Source organism: Homo sapiens, chromosome 9, assembly GCF_000001405.40.
Source record: "Homo sapiens chromosome 9, GRCh38.p14 Primary Assembly".
Lineage (NCBI taxonomy): Eukaryota > Metazoa > Chordata > Mammalia > Primates > Hominidae > Homo > Homo sapiens.
Window position 1 is genome coordinate 126,799,117 of NC_000009.12, and position 16,834 is coordinate 126,815,950.

General features: G+C 42.5%; 1 protein-coding gene across 6 annotated transcripts in view, besides 5 other annotated features; it reads left to right on the top strand.

Annotated features, from left to right (window-relative positions):
• Positions 1-4,955: 4,955 nt before the first annotated feature.
• The window catches only part of ZBTB43 (zinc finger and BTB domain containing 43), a 34,139-nt gene continuing 22,260 nt past the window's right edge, over positions 4,956-16,834 (top strand). For 2 of the 6 annotated variants that reach the window (XM_047423031.1, NM_014007.4), the window contains exons 1-2: positions 5,924-6,016; positions 9,677-9,799. The gene's annotated coding sequence lies outside the window, so the exon portion shown is untranslated. Of the gene's footprint in view, positions 5,006-5,725; positions 5,816-5,923; positions 6,455-8,980; positions 9,077-9,676; positions 9,800-16,834 lie in introns of those variants that run through there. The other 4 variants (XM_011518409.1, XM_047423032.1, XM_005251835.4 and 1 more) reach the window with 4 other exon arrangements.
• Positions 5,539-5,588: a silencer, noted in NCBI's record as "silent region_20292". NCBI's record gives its function as "represses an Ori minimal core promoter by ATAC-STARR-seq in GM12878 lymphoblastoid cells {active_cell/tissue: GM12878}" and the evidence as "EXISTENCE:reporter gene assay evidence [ECO:0000049][PMID:35858748]".
• Positions 5,650-6,151: an enhancer, noted in NCBI's record as "H3K27ac hESC enhancer chr9:129567045-129567546 (GRCh37/hg19 assembly coordinates)". NCBI's record gives its function as "activates a minimal SCP1, AML or CMV promoter by ChIP-STARR-seq in naive H9 embryonic stem cells {active_cell/tissue: H9 hESC(naive)}" and the evidence as "EXISTENCE:reporter gene assay evidence [ECO:0000049][PMID:30033119]".
• Positions 6,219-6,278: an enhancer, noted in NCBI's record as "active region_29019". NCBI's record gives its function as "activates an Ori minimal core promoter by ATAC-STARR-seq in GM12878 lymphoblastoid cells {active_cell/tissue: GM12878}" and the evidence as "EXISTENCE:reporter gene assay evidence [ECO:0000049][PMID:35858748]".
• Positions 6,689-6,798: an enhancer, noted in NCBI's record as "active region_29020". NCBI's record gives its function as "activates an Ori minimal core promoter by ATAC-STARR-seq in GM12878 lymphoblastoid cells {active_cell/tissue: GM12878}" and the evidence as "EXISTENCE:reporter gene assay evidence [ECO:0000049][PMID:35858748]".
• Positions 6,949-7,098: an enhancer, noted in NCBI's record as "active region_29021". NCBI's record gives its function as "activates an Ori minimal core promoter by ATAC-STARR-seq in GM12878 lymphoblastoid cells {active_cell/tissue: GM12878}" and the evidence as "EXISTENCE:reporter gene assay evidence [ECO:0000049][PMID:35858748]".

Below are 16,834 nucleotides of genomic sequence, written 5' to 3' on the forward strand. Positions count from 1 at the left end.
GAGGGATGGAAGGGGCAGAAAGGGCAAAACAGGGTGTACAGCTCCCATGCAGTTCTTTTATAAGGTCATTAATCCCATTCATGAGGGTGGGTCCCTCATGACTAATCACCTTCCCAAGGGCCCCACCTTCTAATATTATCACCTTGGAGATTAGGTTTCAACATGCAAATATTGGAGGGACACATACACTGAAACCATAGCAAATAATGAGTTGCATAATCTCCATACGAGAGTTAATTTGTCTATTTCTTCTTATAGTTCTATCAATATTTATACAATAGTTTGAAGCTGTATATAGATACATATATACACACACATATATATACACACACATATATACACACACATACACACACACACACACACACACACACACACACACACACATATATATATATATTTGAAATGGAGTTTCACTCTTGTTGCCCATGCTGGAGTGCAATGGCACAATCTCGGCTCACTGCAATCTCCATCTCCCGGGTTCGAGTGATTCTCCTACCTTAGCCTCCCAAGTAGCTGGGATTACAGGCGTGCACCACCATGGTTGACTAATTTTTGTATTTTTAGTGGAGACGGGGTTTTGCCATGTTGACCAGGCTGGTCTTGAACTCCTGACCTCATGTGATCCACCCACCTCGGCCTCCCAAAGCATTGGGATTACAGGAGTGAGCCACTGCACCCAGCCTGAAGCTATATTTTTATATGGATACAATTTAGAAGTATTATGTCCTCCTGGTGAGCTGAACCTTTTCTCATTATAAATCACCTATTTGTATTACCCATCTTTTGCTAAGTTAGGCCATAGTAACAGCATGATAGCATGAATCATGCACTCGCTCTTAAAGTGCCCACCTGGAAATGATGCATGTTTTATAATACATTAGTGAGGCCGGGAGCAGTGGCTCATGCCTGTAATTCCAGCAGTTTGGGAGGCCAAGGCGGGTGGATCACCTAAAGTCAGGAGTTCGAGACCAGCCTGACCAACATGGAGAAACCCCGTCTCTACTAAAAGTACAAAATTAGCTGGGTGTGGTGGCACAAGCCTGTATTTCCAGCTACTTGGGAGGCTGAGGCAGGAGAATCACTTGACCCTAGAAGGCGGAGGTTGTGGTGAGCCAAGATTGCTCCACTGCACTCCAGCCTGGCAACAAGAGCGGAACTCCATCTCAAAAAATAATAATAATACATTAGTGAAAGAAAGGTATCTGAACACATCTACTTTCAAAAATTTCTGCAGCTTACAATAATGGTTAATTTCTCACTTACGTTATATGACTTATGTGTGTCATTTGTGGCACTATCCATTCTTCATTCTATATTCTCTTCATCCAGGGACCCAGGCAGGAAGAATAGTCAATCCCATCCAGGACATGCTCTTCTTGTGGCAGAGGGAGAGAGCAATGGTTCTGAAAGCTGTGCTCAGGAGTGCACGCATAACCTCCAGTCACATTTCAGTGACCAAGCCTGACATCCATGGGATGGGAAGTAAACCCTCTCACAGGAACAGCCACAAAATTATTGAAAACAACAATATAAGCTACCACATATTTCTAGAAATGCTTTTTTTTTGAGACGGAGTCTCACTTTGTTGCCCAGGCTGGAGTGCAGTGACACAATCTCGGCTCACTGCAAGCTCCTCCTCCCGGGTTCACACCATTCTCCTGCCTCAGCCTCCCGAGTAGCTGGGACTACAGGCACCCACCGCCATGCCCAGCTAATGTTTTTATTTTTAGCAGAGACGGGGTTTCACCGTGGTAGCCAGGATGGTCTCGATCTCCTGACCTCATGATCCGCCCACCTCGGCCTCCTAAAGTGCTGGGATTACAGGCATGAGCCACCACGCCCGGCCGAAATGCTTTTTGTTTTAGAGTCTATTTATCCAATGTTTTTTGGTTTTTGAGACTGAATCTCGTTCTGTTGCCCAGGCCGGATGGAGGGGCAATGACGTGAACATAGCCCACTGCAGCCTCAAACTCCTGGGCTCAAGCGATTCTCCTGCCTCAGCCTTCTGAGTACCTAGGACTACAGGTGTCACCACACCGGCATTTTTTTTTTTTTTTTGAGATAGGGTCTTACTCTATTGCCCAAGCTGGAATGCAGTGGTGCAATCATGGCACACTGTGGCCTTGACCTCCTGGGCTCAAGTAATCCTCCCACCTCAGCCTCTCGAGTAGCTGGGGCCACAGATGTGTGCCACCACACCTGGCTAATTTTTTTTTATTTTTTGAAGAGAGCATCTCACTATGTTGCCCAGGCTGAATGTTTTTATTTTTTATAGAGACAAGGTTTCACTATATTGCCCAGGCTGGTTTCAAACTCCTGGCCTCAAGTGATCCTCTCACTTTGGCCTCCCAAAGAGCTGGGATTAGGGGTATGAGCTGCCATACCCATCCTTATTTATCCAATGTTAATATAATTTAACCAGCACAGAATCTCTTTTGCCATTCTTTTACTTCAATTTTTCTTTTTTTCCTTTTCTTTCTTTTTTTCTCTTTCTTTGAGACAGGTCTCACTCTGTTGCCCAGGCTCGAGTGCAGTGGCATGGTCATGGCCCACTGCAGCCTCAATCTCCTGGGCTCAGGTGATCCTCCCACCTCAGCCTCCCAAGTAGCTGGGATTACAGGTGTGCACCACCACACCATTTTTTGTAGAGATGGGGTTTCACCATGTTGCCTTGGCTAGTCTTAAACACCTGGGCTCAAGTGATCCACCTGCTTCCCAAAGTGCTAGGATTACAGGCGGGAGCCATCATACCTGGCCTGAAATTTTCTTTAGGTTTGTGTTTTAAACAGTATATAGCTTGATTTTTTTTTTAATCTCATGTTTCCATTTCATCCTTCCAAGTAGCTGGGATTACAGACGCCCACCACCACGGTTGGCTAATTTTTTTGTTTTTGTTTTGTTTTGAGACAGAGTCTTGCTCTGTCACAAGGCTGGAGTTCAGTGGCACAATCCTGGCTCGCTGCAGCCTCTGCCCCCACCCCAGGTTCCAGAGATTCTCCTGCCTCAGCCTCCTGGGTAGCTGGGATTACAGGAGCACACCACCACGCCTGGCTAATTTTTGTATTTTTAATAGAGACGGGGTTTCGTCATGTTGGCCAGGCTGATCTTGAACTCCTGACCTCAGGTGATCTGCCCACCTCAGCCTCCCAAAGTGCTGGGATTATAGGCGTGAGCTGCCACACCCGGCTGCCTGGCAATTTTTCAAGAGTTTCTTGATATTCACTTGTGCTTTTAGCCCCTTTGTTTTTCTAAGCATGCTTGTTTTATATTCTGGTTCTAAAATATCTAATATCTAAAGCCGGTGTGGATCCACCTCTACTGCTTGTCTTCTCTGCTTATTTCCTCAGGGGGTTTGTGGTTTCTGGTTGTGAGTTCATATTTATTTAGAACCCTATCTGTGGGAATTCTTTGAAACCTGGGTTGCCAGTGAGCTCTTCCAGAGAAGATCTGTGTTTGTTTTGGCCAAATACTGTAGGCACCACCTACCCAGGTTCATTTCAAATTAAAGCGATTGCGGGCTTTTGAACTATGCAAATTGTGTGTCCATTTGATAGCCAGACTTTTTGGCCATGAATCCTCCAGGGGAATGTTTTCCCCTTCTGCTCAGAACCAAGGCACAGAGAGACATCTTTAATTGCTGCACCTCTGTACGGCAGATTTTTTCCACCATAGTTTATCCTTCACCTGAGGACATATTTCTTCGTGAGTTCCAACCTGATGTTGCAATTTGACTCTTATCCTGCCTGGACCCAGGTGAACGCTCCTATAGCTGGTAGCAGTATCAGTGTTTACCTATCTCCAGAGATAATTTTGAAAATATTTGTCAGTACAGGACATGCACCAATGGATCGGAACAGATGCAGACGGTACCTCTGCATAATTTCTGAACATCAATTGTTTGACTTCCCAGGCTTGTGTTCTTGTTTTCCTCCTAGCTTCAGATAATTTTCCTGACTTTTTTTTTGCAAGTGTATCCATGCGTTTAAGAGGGTATTCTAAATATTTCTTCTAGCAATTTTATATATTTTGTTGTAGTAATATTTGTAAATATATAGTCCTCAATATTGCCAGAAATAAAGTCCAAGTAAGAAGTTTATTTGGCTCATGCAACAAAACACTTAAGGGTGTCCAAAGCTGGAACTGTGGCCTAATGTCATATGGGACCTAGGTTCTCTCAATCTTCCTGCTTTGCCAGCCTTAGCATTTACTTACCACTTCATAGGCACATGATGGCAGTTGAACTTCCAAACTTCAGGTCTGCTTAGAGGCAGGAATAAAAGTGGCAAAACACTTAAAGAGTATACTCAACTAGGCTGGGTGCAGTTGCTCACGCCTGTAATCCCAGCACTTTGGGAGGCCGAGGCGGTTGGATCATGAGGTCAGGAGTTTGAGACCAGCCTGGCCAAGATGGTGAAACCCCGTCTCTACTAAAAATACAAAAATTAGCCAGGCATGGTGGCATGCACCTGTAGTCTCAGCTACTCGGGAGGCTGAGGCAGGAGAATCGTTTGAACCTGGGAGGCGGAGGTTGCAGTGAGCCAAGATTGTGCCACTGCATTCCAGCCTGGGCAACAGAGCAAGAATTCGTCTCCAAAAAAAAACAAAACAAAACAAAACAAAACCACAAGGCGGGGGAGCTGGAGCATACATGTTTGAAGTAGAATCTTTGACAAGCTGTTCTGCATCCACTCCCATTTCTGTGCTTCCATATTTGTTTTCTTTCATTTTGTTTTCTAGAAAAAAAAATTTTTTTGGTAGAATTCTCTAGGAAAGCTACACTCCTGTGTCCTAGGGCCCAACAACAAGCAAGACAGGCATAACAGCTGGGAAACCAATCAGCTTAAACTGAGACAGACAATATCAAACAGGCATGTCAGGCCCCACGAGAACATCCACCCTAAATCCAGAAGGCATTATGACCACATCGCTTCAGCTGCCTGGATTTCAGGTATAAATTAGTTCTTCTACAAAGAGGGCACTTGGTCTGTAAACGGGTCCAAAGGTAAGAGTCCCACCGCTAAAGACCTATCTCTCTTCTACACTAACATGGGGGGGCAGTGGGGAAGAAAGGGGCGAGAAGAGGTATGGAGGTTTTGGGAGGGAGTGGGAGAATTGGAGGCTAGAGAGATCGTTTCTGTCCCACCATCTGTGTGACCCCAGTGCCCAGCACAATGCAGCCCACGGAAAGGCACTGGTCCTTTCATTGACCATTTACTGAGCATCTACTACATGCCAAAAAGCGAGATGGGTGCTGTGAAGGCAGAAACGGATTTGGAGATAATCTCCGCCAGGCATACTGAGGTCAAGGTTTTCGTTCGTTTGTTTAGAGAAGAGACGGAGAAGGTCAAGGTGTTTTTGTTTGTTTTGTTGTTGTTGTTGTTGTTGTTTAAGAGTCTTGCTCTGTGCTCAGGCTGGAGTGCAGCGGCGTGATCTCGGCTCACTGCAACCTCTGCCTCACGGGTTCAGGCAATTCTCCTGTCTCAGCTTCCCAAGTAGCTGGGATTACAGGCGCGCGCAACCACGCTCAGCTAATTTTTGTATGTTTTGTAGAGACAGGGTTTCACCATGTTGGCCAGGATGGTCTCGAACTCCTAGCCTCAAGCGATCATCCCCTCTCGGCCTCCCAAAGTGCAGGGATTACAGACGTGGGCTACCGCGCCTGGCCTATGCCAAGGTTTCAAGAAGGTTTAGAACTCAGTATCTGCTCCCCTATTTTCAACAGCGTAGTCAGTCCCTAAAATTGACCCGCTCCAGAGTGTACTGCGCAGGCGCCCGCTACCTCCGCGCTCTCTCCCGACGCCCAGCTCAGACGGTAAGTCCCGCATGCGCACTCCGCTTTCTCTCTGACGCACCCCCGGAAGCACTGTCAGTTTCGGGGGGCGGGACCGGGAAGCGTTTCCGGGGGCTGAAGGCACAGGCTGAATCTGTTGCGGCAGCTGAGGCTACAACAGGCCTGCGCCGGCGGCAGAGAGGATATCTTGGGCGGGGGATGTGAGCGCTGAGCCCTTGGCAGGTACTGCGTGGCCAGGACCACGGGCGGCAAGGGTAGGGGAGGAGAAGTCGGTGGGGGAGTTAAGGGCTCCTCAGCAGGCCCCGACGCTCGCGCCGCTGGCCCCGCCAGGCCCATTCCGTGGACCGGCATACCAAAGCCCCGCGCGGGAGGTTGGGGTCCCGGCGCTCCAGCTCCGAATCCCGCAGTCTTCTGCCCACACGGCGCGCAGACCGCGATACCGAGGCCTTTGGGGCAGCTTCTCGCCCAAGGTCACCCTCGCGGCGGCGGAGCTCCGCCGGCCACAGCGCTTAGAGATCCCGCCCCCGTCCGTCCGCTGGCCTTTCGGGGCGTAGGGTGGGCGCGGCTTGACGACCTCGGGTTCGAGCCACCAATGCCTGAGGCCTGACGAGCCGAGCTGGGAGAAAGACTGCGCCTGGACTTAGCTGATCTTCTGTTTAAGTAAAACATTCAGCATCCCCTGTTGCTGTCTCTGTCACCTGTTGTAACCTGCCCTTTTTGTCTTTCAGCTAGGTCGCTGTCAACCTGATATTTCTCTCCACTTTGTCTTTGTCGGGGTATCTGGATCCTGTTTTATATCTGTCTCCACCTTGCTTCTGTGTCTGTTCACCCTGTCTCTGCCACTCAGCCCTTACTCTAATTCAGGGCCTGTCAGTCTGGCTTTTTGGCCATCTGTCTGTTTCTCTCTTTCTGCCAACTTTGTTTTTGCCTCTTGTCTCTCTTTCCTGAGTTTGGGTGGGGCAGGGCTGCCCAGACCTCTGAGCCATGGAAGGTGACTCATGACCCCGTGAAGTTCCCTGCACTGGTGACACTCTCAGTGACTCGACCGCAGTTTGGCCTCAACTCTGACAGGTGTCGCCCAACATAAGTGTCAGAGTGCAGGAGAGCCTGTCAGGGAGACAGGAGGCCCATTTTAGGGCCAGAGCAGCTTGATGAGTCCTCTCCTTTTCTCGCCTGTGGTTTCTCAGGCCTGCACAGCTTCCCAAATGCCTTCGCTCTATCCACTCACCACAGGATGGTCTCCAGGGATCTCTGGAGCCTGCTCTTTGAGTTACAGCTGTTTAACAGGCCTGTCTACAGGCTAAGAAAGGATCAGACTGAGGTCTTTGGGGCTACTGGAACAGTAGCAGGGTTTCTGGGATAACTGCATGCTTAGTTCAGAGATTGTGTCAGCATTTTCAGTTAAATTATAAGAAACCTAATAATTGGGAATTTATTATTTGCTTTATAAAAGCACCACGGGAGAAATAAACCACACACAAAAGGACAAATGTTGTTTGAGAGCACTTAAATGAAGTACCTAGAATAAACCAATTAAGAGACGGAAAGTAGAATAGTTTACCAGGGGCTGGGGAGAGGAGTTATTGCTTAATGTTACAGAACAGAGTTTTGGGGGATGATGAATAAGGTCTGGAAATGGGTTGTGATGATTGCACAACATTGTGAATGTACTTCACTGAATTGGACTCTTAAAATTACTTAAAATTGTTAAGTCTTAAAGTTTTATGTATATTTTATACAATACAAAAAACAAAAACAGTATTCATTGGAGACTCCTGAAACCAATAAGCTCCTTTTACATGTAATTTTTCAAAATTCATTCTGTAGTTGTTAGGAACACAGTTGAACCTGTGTTTATTGATTCCTACTCTCTTTACAGCAGTGGGTACAGCTGAGGTTCTTAGAAAAGTTTAGTTAAATGAATTTGGTTAAAATCTTTCTCAGGCTTTCTACTTACTTTCTGCCCTGGCTCTCCTCCCTCTGCCTTTCTTGGAATCAGTGCAAGAATGTGCTCATAAGTAGGATACTTGATAATTATGCTTTTCACAGGAAGAAAACTCATAAGGTTGAAAAATAGCCCTTTTATTATAATGCAAAATTATGTGTTATTTCTTGAGTTTCGTTATGGGGGATGCCTTTGTGGTTTTTTTGTTTTTTAAAATCTCTTATTTAAGCTGTCTATTTGCCTTTAAGGTAGTTTATCAAGCTTTCTAATAAGATATCACAACTGAATTACTACTTTATTTAATTGAATCCTAGATGCTGTTATTTCATGTACCACCAAGGAAGGGAGAAACCCTGCTAATTGAACTATGGCTTAATACGCTCTTATCGTTTAGACTTTTTATTATTGAAAACACTTTTAGACTTAGACACTAAAACATGGTATCAATGCCTATTCTAATGCATATATACAAAGGAAAAATAAGAACACATTGGTTAAAGTGTTCGTTAAACTTAACATTCCAAGTTCTACTCTTCTGTGCACTTTTCAATTCAGAGTGTGTCCATATTTTTTCTAGAGTGTCATCCTTTGTGTCATCAAGAACATTGATGAGGACCTCAGCAGTTCTCTATCATTGTCTCAGGCAGTGACAGCTATTAAAACTGCCACCTGGTGATCACATTCTGATTTCAGGAATTTTAAAATGTGAAAAAATGCATGTCTGAAAATTAATTGAAGAGTATCATTTTCATGAACTTTTTTTTTCTTGTTTTTGTTTTTGTTTTGTTTTGTTTTTTTGAGATGGAGTCTCGCCCTGTCGCCCAGGCTAGAGTGCAGTGGTGCAATCCCGGCTCACTGCAACCTCCGCCTCCTGGGTTCAAGCGATTCTCCTGCTTCAACCTCCCGAGTAGCTGGGATTACAGGCGCCTGCCACCACACACAGCTAATTTTTGTATTTTTAGTAGAGACAGAGTTTCACCATGTTGGCCAGACTGGTCTCAAACTCCTGACTTCAAATGATCCACCTGCCTTGGCCTCCCAAAGTGCTGGGATTAACAAGTGTGAGCCACTGCGCTGGGCCTGAACTTTTCCTTTTCAACTCTATTTATATTTGCAGTTAGAATAGGGGCTTTTGTCTTATTTGTAACATATTGAGGAAAAAATATTTTTTAAAATTTGTCGATATGTTGTTAATTTCTTGAAATGAGTACTGTTTCTGCCTTCTGCTTTCTTGATTTCAGCTTCTTATCCTGAATTCTAATGCACGTGAGGGTACAGTTAAAAACATTTCCTTGGCTTTATTGAAATTCAATGGAAGGATGATCGATAAATGGGGGGTTAGTTTCTAGAACGTTACCTTCTCTTTTGAATCTCAGAGAGTTTGCTGTAATAGAATGTTTGTCCTAGAAGTTTTTAAGTAAAACATTCAGCCGTGGCTTAAAATTGAAGGGAATCATGAATCAAACTTCATAAAGCAGGTGGCTTGTTTTTTTAAAAAACATCTTAAAATAGTTTTTACTAAGTGATTTGGCCAAAGTGTTCTAATTAGGAAAAAAATGGAAGAATACTGATTGACAATGGTCAGGAGACCAATAGCACTGTTCCAAAGGATATATTAATTCTGCAAAATTACATAGTCATTGACCATGTTTTCTAGTTTTAATGAATATGCCACAGTAATGGATGAGAGGTATATGGGAGTTATGCACTATCTTTTCAGTTTTTTTGAAAATTTAAAATTATTACAAAATAAGTTTGTTTTTTTAAAAAATACAAAAGCAGGAGCTATGAAGTTGCAGAATGGAATTTAATATAACCAAAAATGCCAGTCTTGATTACTTTTCTTTCTGCCGCTAATGTACATCTCTAGTGTTTATTAGCAAATACACGTGTACATAGCATCTCTTTTACATTTTCACTGTTACTCTTCCTTCCAGAAGTCAATGTGATTTTAATTTGAAGCAAAACTGAAATGGGTTCTTCTTCCTCATTCTATTCATGTTGCTTTTTGATGGCCATGGCATAAGGAACTCTATCCCAGGAATACAGCTTTGCATTAGGTAAGCTATCAACTTGATCACGATACCATTTTTAAAGTTACTTACTGTAATCATTTCTCTTTTAGCAAAAATAATAATGTATTTTGTTAAGATTTTTAATTCCTCTAGACCAGAAGATTCTTTCTTCTCTTCTGAAGAGATGTTACACCTTCTAAGGCCCATCAATGCCATACTTTGCACTGATAGAACATTTAATGTCAGATAAATTTTTCTGCCAAGTGAATTTTTTTTCTTAACTTAGAAAAATGTTAGATTTGGAGTTATACTGCTGTTTGAATGCTGACATGCCATTTCTGAGACGTGTAACCACTGGCAGGTCTTTTAATTTGAGCTTCAGTTTACTCATATTTCAAAAGGATGCAATGATACGGGAGTGTTGCACAACGCAGGTTTACATAGTGTGCTTTGTGAACTCTAAAGCATTTCACTAATGTAAAGAGTAGGCATAGGGTATTGGTGTTTTTGTACATTTGTGCCAGGCTTTAAATTTACTGAAGCAACATTTACTATGTTTAAATATGCTTTCTATAGTAAGCATGCAAGTTACCATATGCTCTGATTAAAGAAACCTCTGAAGGACTTCACAATAAGTAGCTGGTGGGTCTGCTTCCCTATTATATTGCTGTCATCTGTGTTTTTAGGATGTTTAATAGGTGTTTAAATCACGTATAAAATTTGACTTGGAGTTCCTCAGCCGAATAATAAATAGTGGCTGTTATTAAACTCATCAAAGTTGGAAGGAATCTTGAAGGTCATCTAGTTCAGGATTTCTTCAGTATGTTGCCCTTCATCTGCGTTAAAAAAAGCCAAATAGCTTTTAAGAAGCATAGTGGAACAGGCTGGCATCGGTGTGTTTGTTTTAGAACTGTTGCTATTGGATTAAAAAAATAAAATACATGTGCAAAGTGGCATAAAACTGCTGGTATCTTTTTTTTTTTGAGACAGAGTCTCGCTTTGTCGCCCAGGCTAGAGTGCAGTGGCAGGATCTCAGCTCACTGCAAGCTCCACCTCCCAGGCTCAAGCAGTTCTCTGCCTCAGCCTTCAGAGTAGCTGGGATTACAGGTGCCGGCCACCACACCCGGCTAATTTTTTTGTATTTTTAGTAGAGATGGGGTTTCACCATCTTGGCCAGACTGGTCTTGAACTCCTGACCTTGTGATCCACGGGCCTCAGCCTCCCAAAGTGCTGGGATTACAGACGTGAGCCACCGCGCCCGGCCCACTAACTGCTGGTATCTTATTAAGGTTTTTGTTTGTTTGTTCATTTGTTTGTTTATTTGTTTGTTTGTTTGTTTTTGAGATGGAGTCTCGCTCTTGTTGCCCAGGCTGGAGTGCAGTGGCAGAATCTCCGCTCACTGCAACCTCTGCCTCCCAGGTTCAAGAGATTTTCCTTCCTCAGCCTCCTGAGTAGCTGGGATTACAGGCATCTGTCAGCATGCCCAGCTAATTTTGTATTTTTAGTAGAGACAGGGTTTCGCCTTCTTGGCCAGGCCAGTCTCAAACTCCTGACCACAGGTGATCCACCGTCTCGTGCTCCCAAAGTGCTGGGATTACAGGCATGAGCCACTGTGCCCAGCCGTCTTTTTTTTTTTTTTTTTTTTTTTTGAGATGGGGTCTCGCTCTGTCACACAGGCTGGAGCGCGTGGCGAGATCTTGGCTCACTGCGACCTCTGCCTCCCGGGTTCAAGTGATTCTCCTGCCTCAGCCTCCCAGGTAGCTGGGACTACAGGCATGGGCCACCATGCACAGCTAATTTTTTTTTGTACTTTTAGTAGAGAAGGGGTTTCACCATGTTGGCCAGGATGGTCTCCATCTTTTGACCTGGTGATCCGCCCGCCTCGGCCTCCCAAAGTACTGGGATTACAGGAGTGAGCCACCATGCCTGGCTTGGGCCATCTTAAGTCTAAGGATGGTCAGCGTGCGAAAGTTTGTGAATGCATTGTATATAATAAAATTATATAGATTATTTGTGAAAATGATATTCACGTTTACTTTCCATACTCTGAAACTATAGTGATATTCACAGCCAGGCACGATGGCTCATGCCTGTAATCCCAGCACTTTGGGAGGCCAAGGTGGGCAGATCACATGAGGGTCAGGAGTTCGAGACCAACCTGGCCAACATGGTGAAACCCCATCTCTACTAAAAACACAAAAATTAGCTGGGCGTGGTGTCACGCACCTGTGGTCTCAGCTACTCAGGAGGCTGAGGCAGGAGAATCGCTTGAACCTGGGAGGCGGAGGTTACAGTGAGCTGAAGTGGCACCACTGCCCTCCAGCCTGGGCGACAGAGACTCCATCTCAAAAAAAAAAAAAAAAAGAAGAAAAAATTATATTCACCTTTTCTTTCCACCTCTTAAGCTATAGTGGGCCTGAACAAGTACTTTGGATTTAAATCTCAATTTTACTGCTTACCAGTTATATGACCTTAAGTTGCTTAGCTTTTTTGTCTATCTCCAATTCTGTACAATGGAAGTAAAAAATACCTATTGAGTGGGTTGCTGTGAAGATTAAGTGAGACAGAGCATATAAAGTGCTTTGCATAGACTTTGTACAATGTCTGTATTAAGCAGTTTATATATTTGTATATGTATGTCATAAATAGTAGTTGCTGTTATTTCCTATTAATGATGACATTTTCCTAGTCACTCAGTCATGAAATTCAAAGTCGGCATTGGTACATCAGTTTGCCTTGCATTACTCTTTATTTTATTTATTTCTATTTTTTTGGGATGGAGTCTCACTCTGTCGCCCAGGCTGGAGTGCAGTGGGGTAATCTTGGCTCACTGCAGCCTCCGCCTCCTGGGTTCAAGTGATTCTTCTGCCTCAGCCTCCCGAGTAGCTGGGACTACAGGCACCCACCACCACACGCAGCTAATTTTTGTGTTTTTAGTAGAGACGGGGTTTCACCATATTAGTCAGGCTGGTCTCGAACTCCCGACCTTGTGATCCACCCACCTCGGCCTCCCGAAGTGCTGGGATTACAGGCGTGAGCCACCGCACCCGGCCACATTACTCTTTTTTAAACAGCTTTACAGAGACATAATTCATAAGTAATAAAGAGGTTTTTTTTTTGGTATATTCACAGATTTGTATACCCATCACCACAATCTAATTTTAGAACTTTTGTCTCCCCTCAAAGAAACCCAGTTAGCAGTTGCTCCCCATTTCTTCTACCTGTAGCCACGAATCTACTTTCTGTCTCTATGGATTTGTCTATTCTGGACATTTCATATAAGTGGAGTCATACAAGATACGGCCTTTTGTGTCCGACCTCTTTCATTTAGCATAACGTTTTCAAGTGCCAGCCGTGTTGTCACATCTATCAGTATTTCGTTCTTTTTTATTGCCAAACATCCTATTCTAAGGATATATCCTGTTTGTTTATCCAGTCATAAGTTGATGGAGCTTATGATGGTTTTCACTTTTTGGCTTTTAAGAATAATGCAGTTATGAACATTCATGTACGAGTTTTAGTGTGGACATCATATGTTTTCATTTTTCTTGGGTATGTACCTAGGAGAATTGTTGAATTAACGTGGTAACTCTATGTTTAACTCCCTGAGGTGCTGTCACACTGCTTTCCACAGTAGCTGTACCATTTTACATGCCCACCAGCAATGTATGGAGGTTATAATACCTACACATCCTCACCGACACCTGTTATTGTCTGTCTGTCTTTTGACAGCCATTTTAGTGAGTGAAAAGGGATGTTTAGTAGTTTTGATTTGCATTTTTCTAATTACTAATGATGTTGAGTGGTTTTCATATGCTTATAGGTTATTTGTATATCTTCTTTGGAGAAATGTCTCTTCAGATCCTTTATCTGTTTTTCAGTTGGGTTATTTATCTTTTTATTATTGAGTCATAAGAGTTCTTGAGGTATTCTGGATGCAAGTCACTCATTAGTTACATGATCTGCAAATAATTTCTCCTATTCTGTGGGTTGTGTGTTCACTTTCTTGATGGTATCATTTGTACCTTGTACTACTGCTGTATCTTCCTGCTGACCAGTTCTGTCAGTCTCATCAATGCCACCCCTTTTCCATACCCACTGTTACTTTTTTTTTTTTTCTTTTTTTTGAGATGTAGTTTTGCTCTTGTTGCCCAGGCTGGAGTGCTTTGGCATGATCTCGGCTCACTGCAACCTCCGCCTCCCAGGTTCAAGCAGTTCTGCTGTCTCAGCCTCCCGAATAGCTGGGATAACAGATGTGTGCCACCACGCCCGGCTAACTTTGTATTTTTAGTAGAGACAGGGTTTCACCATGTTGGCCAGGCCGGTCTGGAACTCCTGACTTCGAGTGATCCACGTGCCTCAGCCTCCCAAAATGCTGGGATAAAAGACGTGAGCCACCATGCCTGGCCCCACTGTTACTTTTATTACTACCTAGACTACACTTATTGAAATCCTATAATTAGCTTCTACTTCAGACTTTCTCCTGCTTTAGTCCGTCAGCAGATCAACCTTCCTTAACCATGCCTCACAGCACGTCACTTAGAAGTTTTCAGTGCTGCCCCAATGTAGACGTCTCATTCGGCTTTTTCTAGATTTATCTCCCATCACTCATTGTCACTCATAGAAGGAAGCACAAGTAATGATGTGTGTGTCACCAGGGTTAGTCTTGAGTGAAAGAGAGCCGAGGGAGATCTGAAATGGCTTTCTGATGGTAATTTCACCATAATCTAGGATCTTGCCGTTAGTGTGATTGGACCAATAACTCAGTGTCTTCAACATATCATACTTATGATGTACCAAACCCGCAAGAGATTAAAGTATACAAACCAGAATGCCATGTGATTTATAATTTTTCTTTCTATGTTAATAAGTGAGATTGGCTTGTAGGGTTTTTTTTGTTGTTGGCCAATTTTGATACCAGAGTTTTGTATAAAATTTATGAATTTTCTCCTACCCTATTGCCTTGTCCTCTTCTCCCCCTCTACTTTTTACATTTCTAGTTTTATCATATTGTGTAATCCATTGTATAGTCACATGTAATCAAATGTGCCCTGTGCATTTCCGCTTTGGAGAATTTATTGATGTTCTCTGTAGCCACGTATATTATCATTTTTGTAAATGTCCTACAGACAGTAGAAAAGGAGTATTATTTGTAGAGTATATAGGTATTGCATTAAATTAGCTTTATTGATAGCTGTCTAAACCTATAGATTCTTGTCCTTTGCCTACTTGATTTATTAAGAATTAAAGAGGGATACTTATATTTCCTGCTACAATTACAGTTCTGTTACTGTTGCCTTATTTTCTAACATTGTACTCTGACACATAAAAGTTCACAGAGTAAACTTCATTGTGAATTATAGGTTTCATCAGTTAACAATAAACTTTCATCCTGATTTTTACAGATGAAATTTACATCTGTAAAATTTTTACAGATGAAATTTACATCTGTAAAATGTAAATTTTACATCTGTAAAAATTTTACAGATGAAATTTACAAAGTAAATTTACATTGAAATTTACTTTGATATTAGTATTGTGTTGCTTGACTTTTGTTTTCATGTGACTTTTTTTTTTTTAAACTTTTGACCTTTTTGGTGATAAATTCTTTCAACTTTTCTATGTCTGAAAAAGTATTTTGGGCCGGGCGCGGTGGCTTACGCCTGTAATCCCAACACTTTGGGAGGCCGAGGTGGGCAGATCACGAGGTCAGGAGATCGAGACCATCCTGGCTAACACAGTGAAACACTGTCTCTACTAAAAATACAAAAAATTAGCCGGGCATGGTGGTGGATGCCCGTAGTCCCAGCTACTTGGGAGGCTGAGGCAGGAGAATGGTGTGAACCCAGGAGGCGGAGCTTGTAGTGAGCTGAGATTGCACCACTGTACTCCAGCCTGGGCAACAGAGCAAGACTCTGTCTAAAAAAGAAAGAAAGAAAGAAAGAAAAAGTATTTTGCCTTCACTTTGAAGATACTTTCATGGGTATAGAATTCTAAGTTGACAGGCCTTTCCGCCCCCTCCCCCACCTTCATTTCAGTATTTTAAAATGGTCTCCTGTCTCCTGGCTTGCATTGCTTCTGAGGTTCTCTGTACACAAGGGGCCTTTTTTTTGTCTGGCTGCTTTTAAGATTTTCTCCACTGATTTTAAGTGATTTGATTATGATGTGCCTTGCTGTAGTTTTTTTCATGTTTCTTGTGCTTGGAGTTTGTTGAGCTGCTTAGGTCTGTGAGTTCGTAGTTTTCATCAAATTTGAAAAAGTTTTGGCTGTTGTTTTCACATATGTATAAAATGTATGTGTGTATGTGTGTATTGTTTATATATATAGTTTTCAATATATAAAACTATATATATAGTTTTCAATATATAAAACTATATATATATAGTTTTCAATATATAAAACTATATATATATAGTTTTCAATATATAAAACTATATATATAGTTTTCAATATATAAAACTATATATATAGTTTTCAATATATAAAAATATATATATATATATAGTTTTCATGTGTCTGATAGCTTATCACATAAAACTTTTTGCCTTCCCCACAACAATCATGTCTACATTAGGTATCTGGAAGTTGTCTCACAGCTCACTGATACTCTATTCCCTTTTTATTTGCCTTTTTTTTTCCTCTGTATGTTTTATTTTGGGTAAGTTTTTGTTGCCATGTTTTCAAGCTCACTAATGTTCTGCAGTGTCAATTCTGTTGTTATTCTCATCCCAATGTATGTTTGTTTTTTAAATTTCTAGATGTTTTATTTGGGTCTCTCTCTCTCTCTCTTTTTTTTTTTTTCAATAGTTTCCCTGTCTGTACCTAACATGCTTAATCTTTCCTCTACTTTCTTGAAAATATAGAATATAGAATTGTTTACCAGTTGTATAAATCTTCTGTCATTTCTGGATCTGTTTCTGTTGATTGATTCCCACCCCCACCTCAGTATCCTGGGTTATATTTTCCTAGTTCTTGGCATGCCTGGTGATTTTTAAATTTGATGTCAGATATGAGTTTTACCTTGTTCGGTGCTGGATATTTTTGTATTATGTAAATGTTCTCAAGTTTCATTCTGGAACA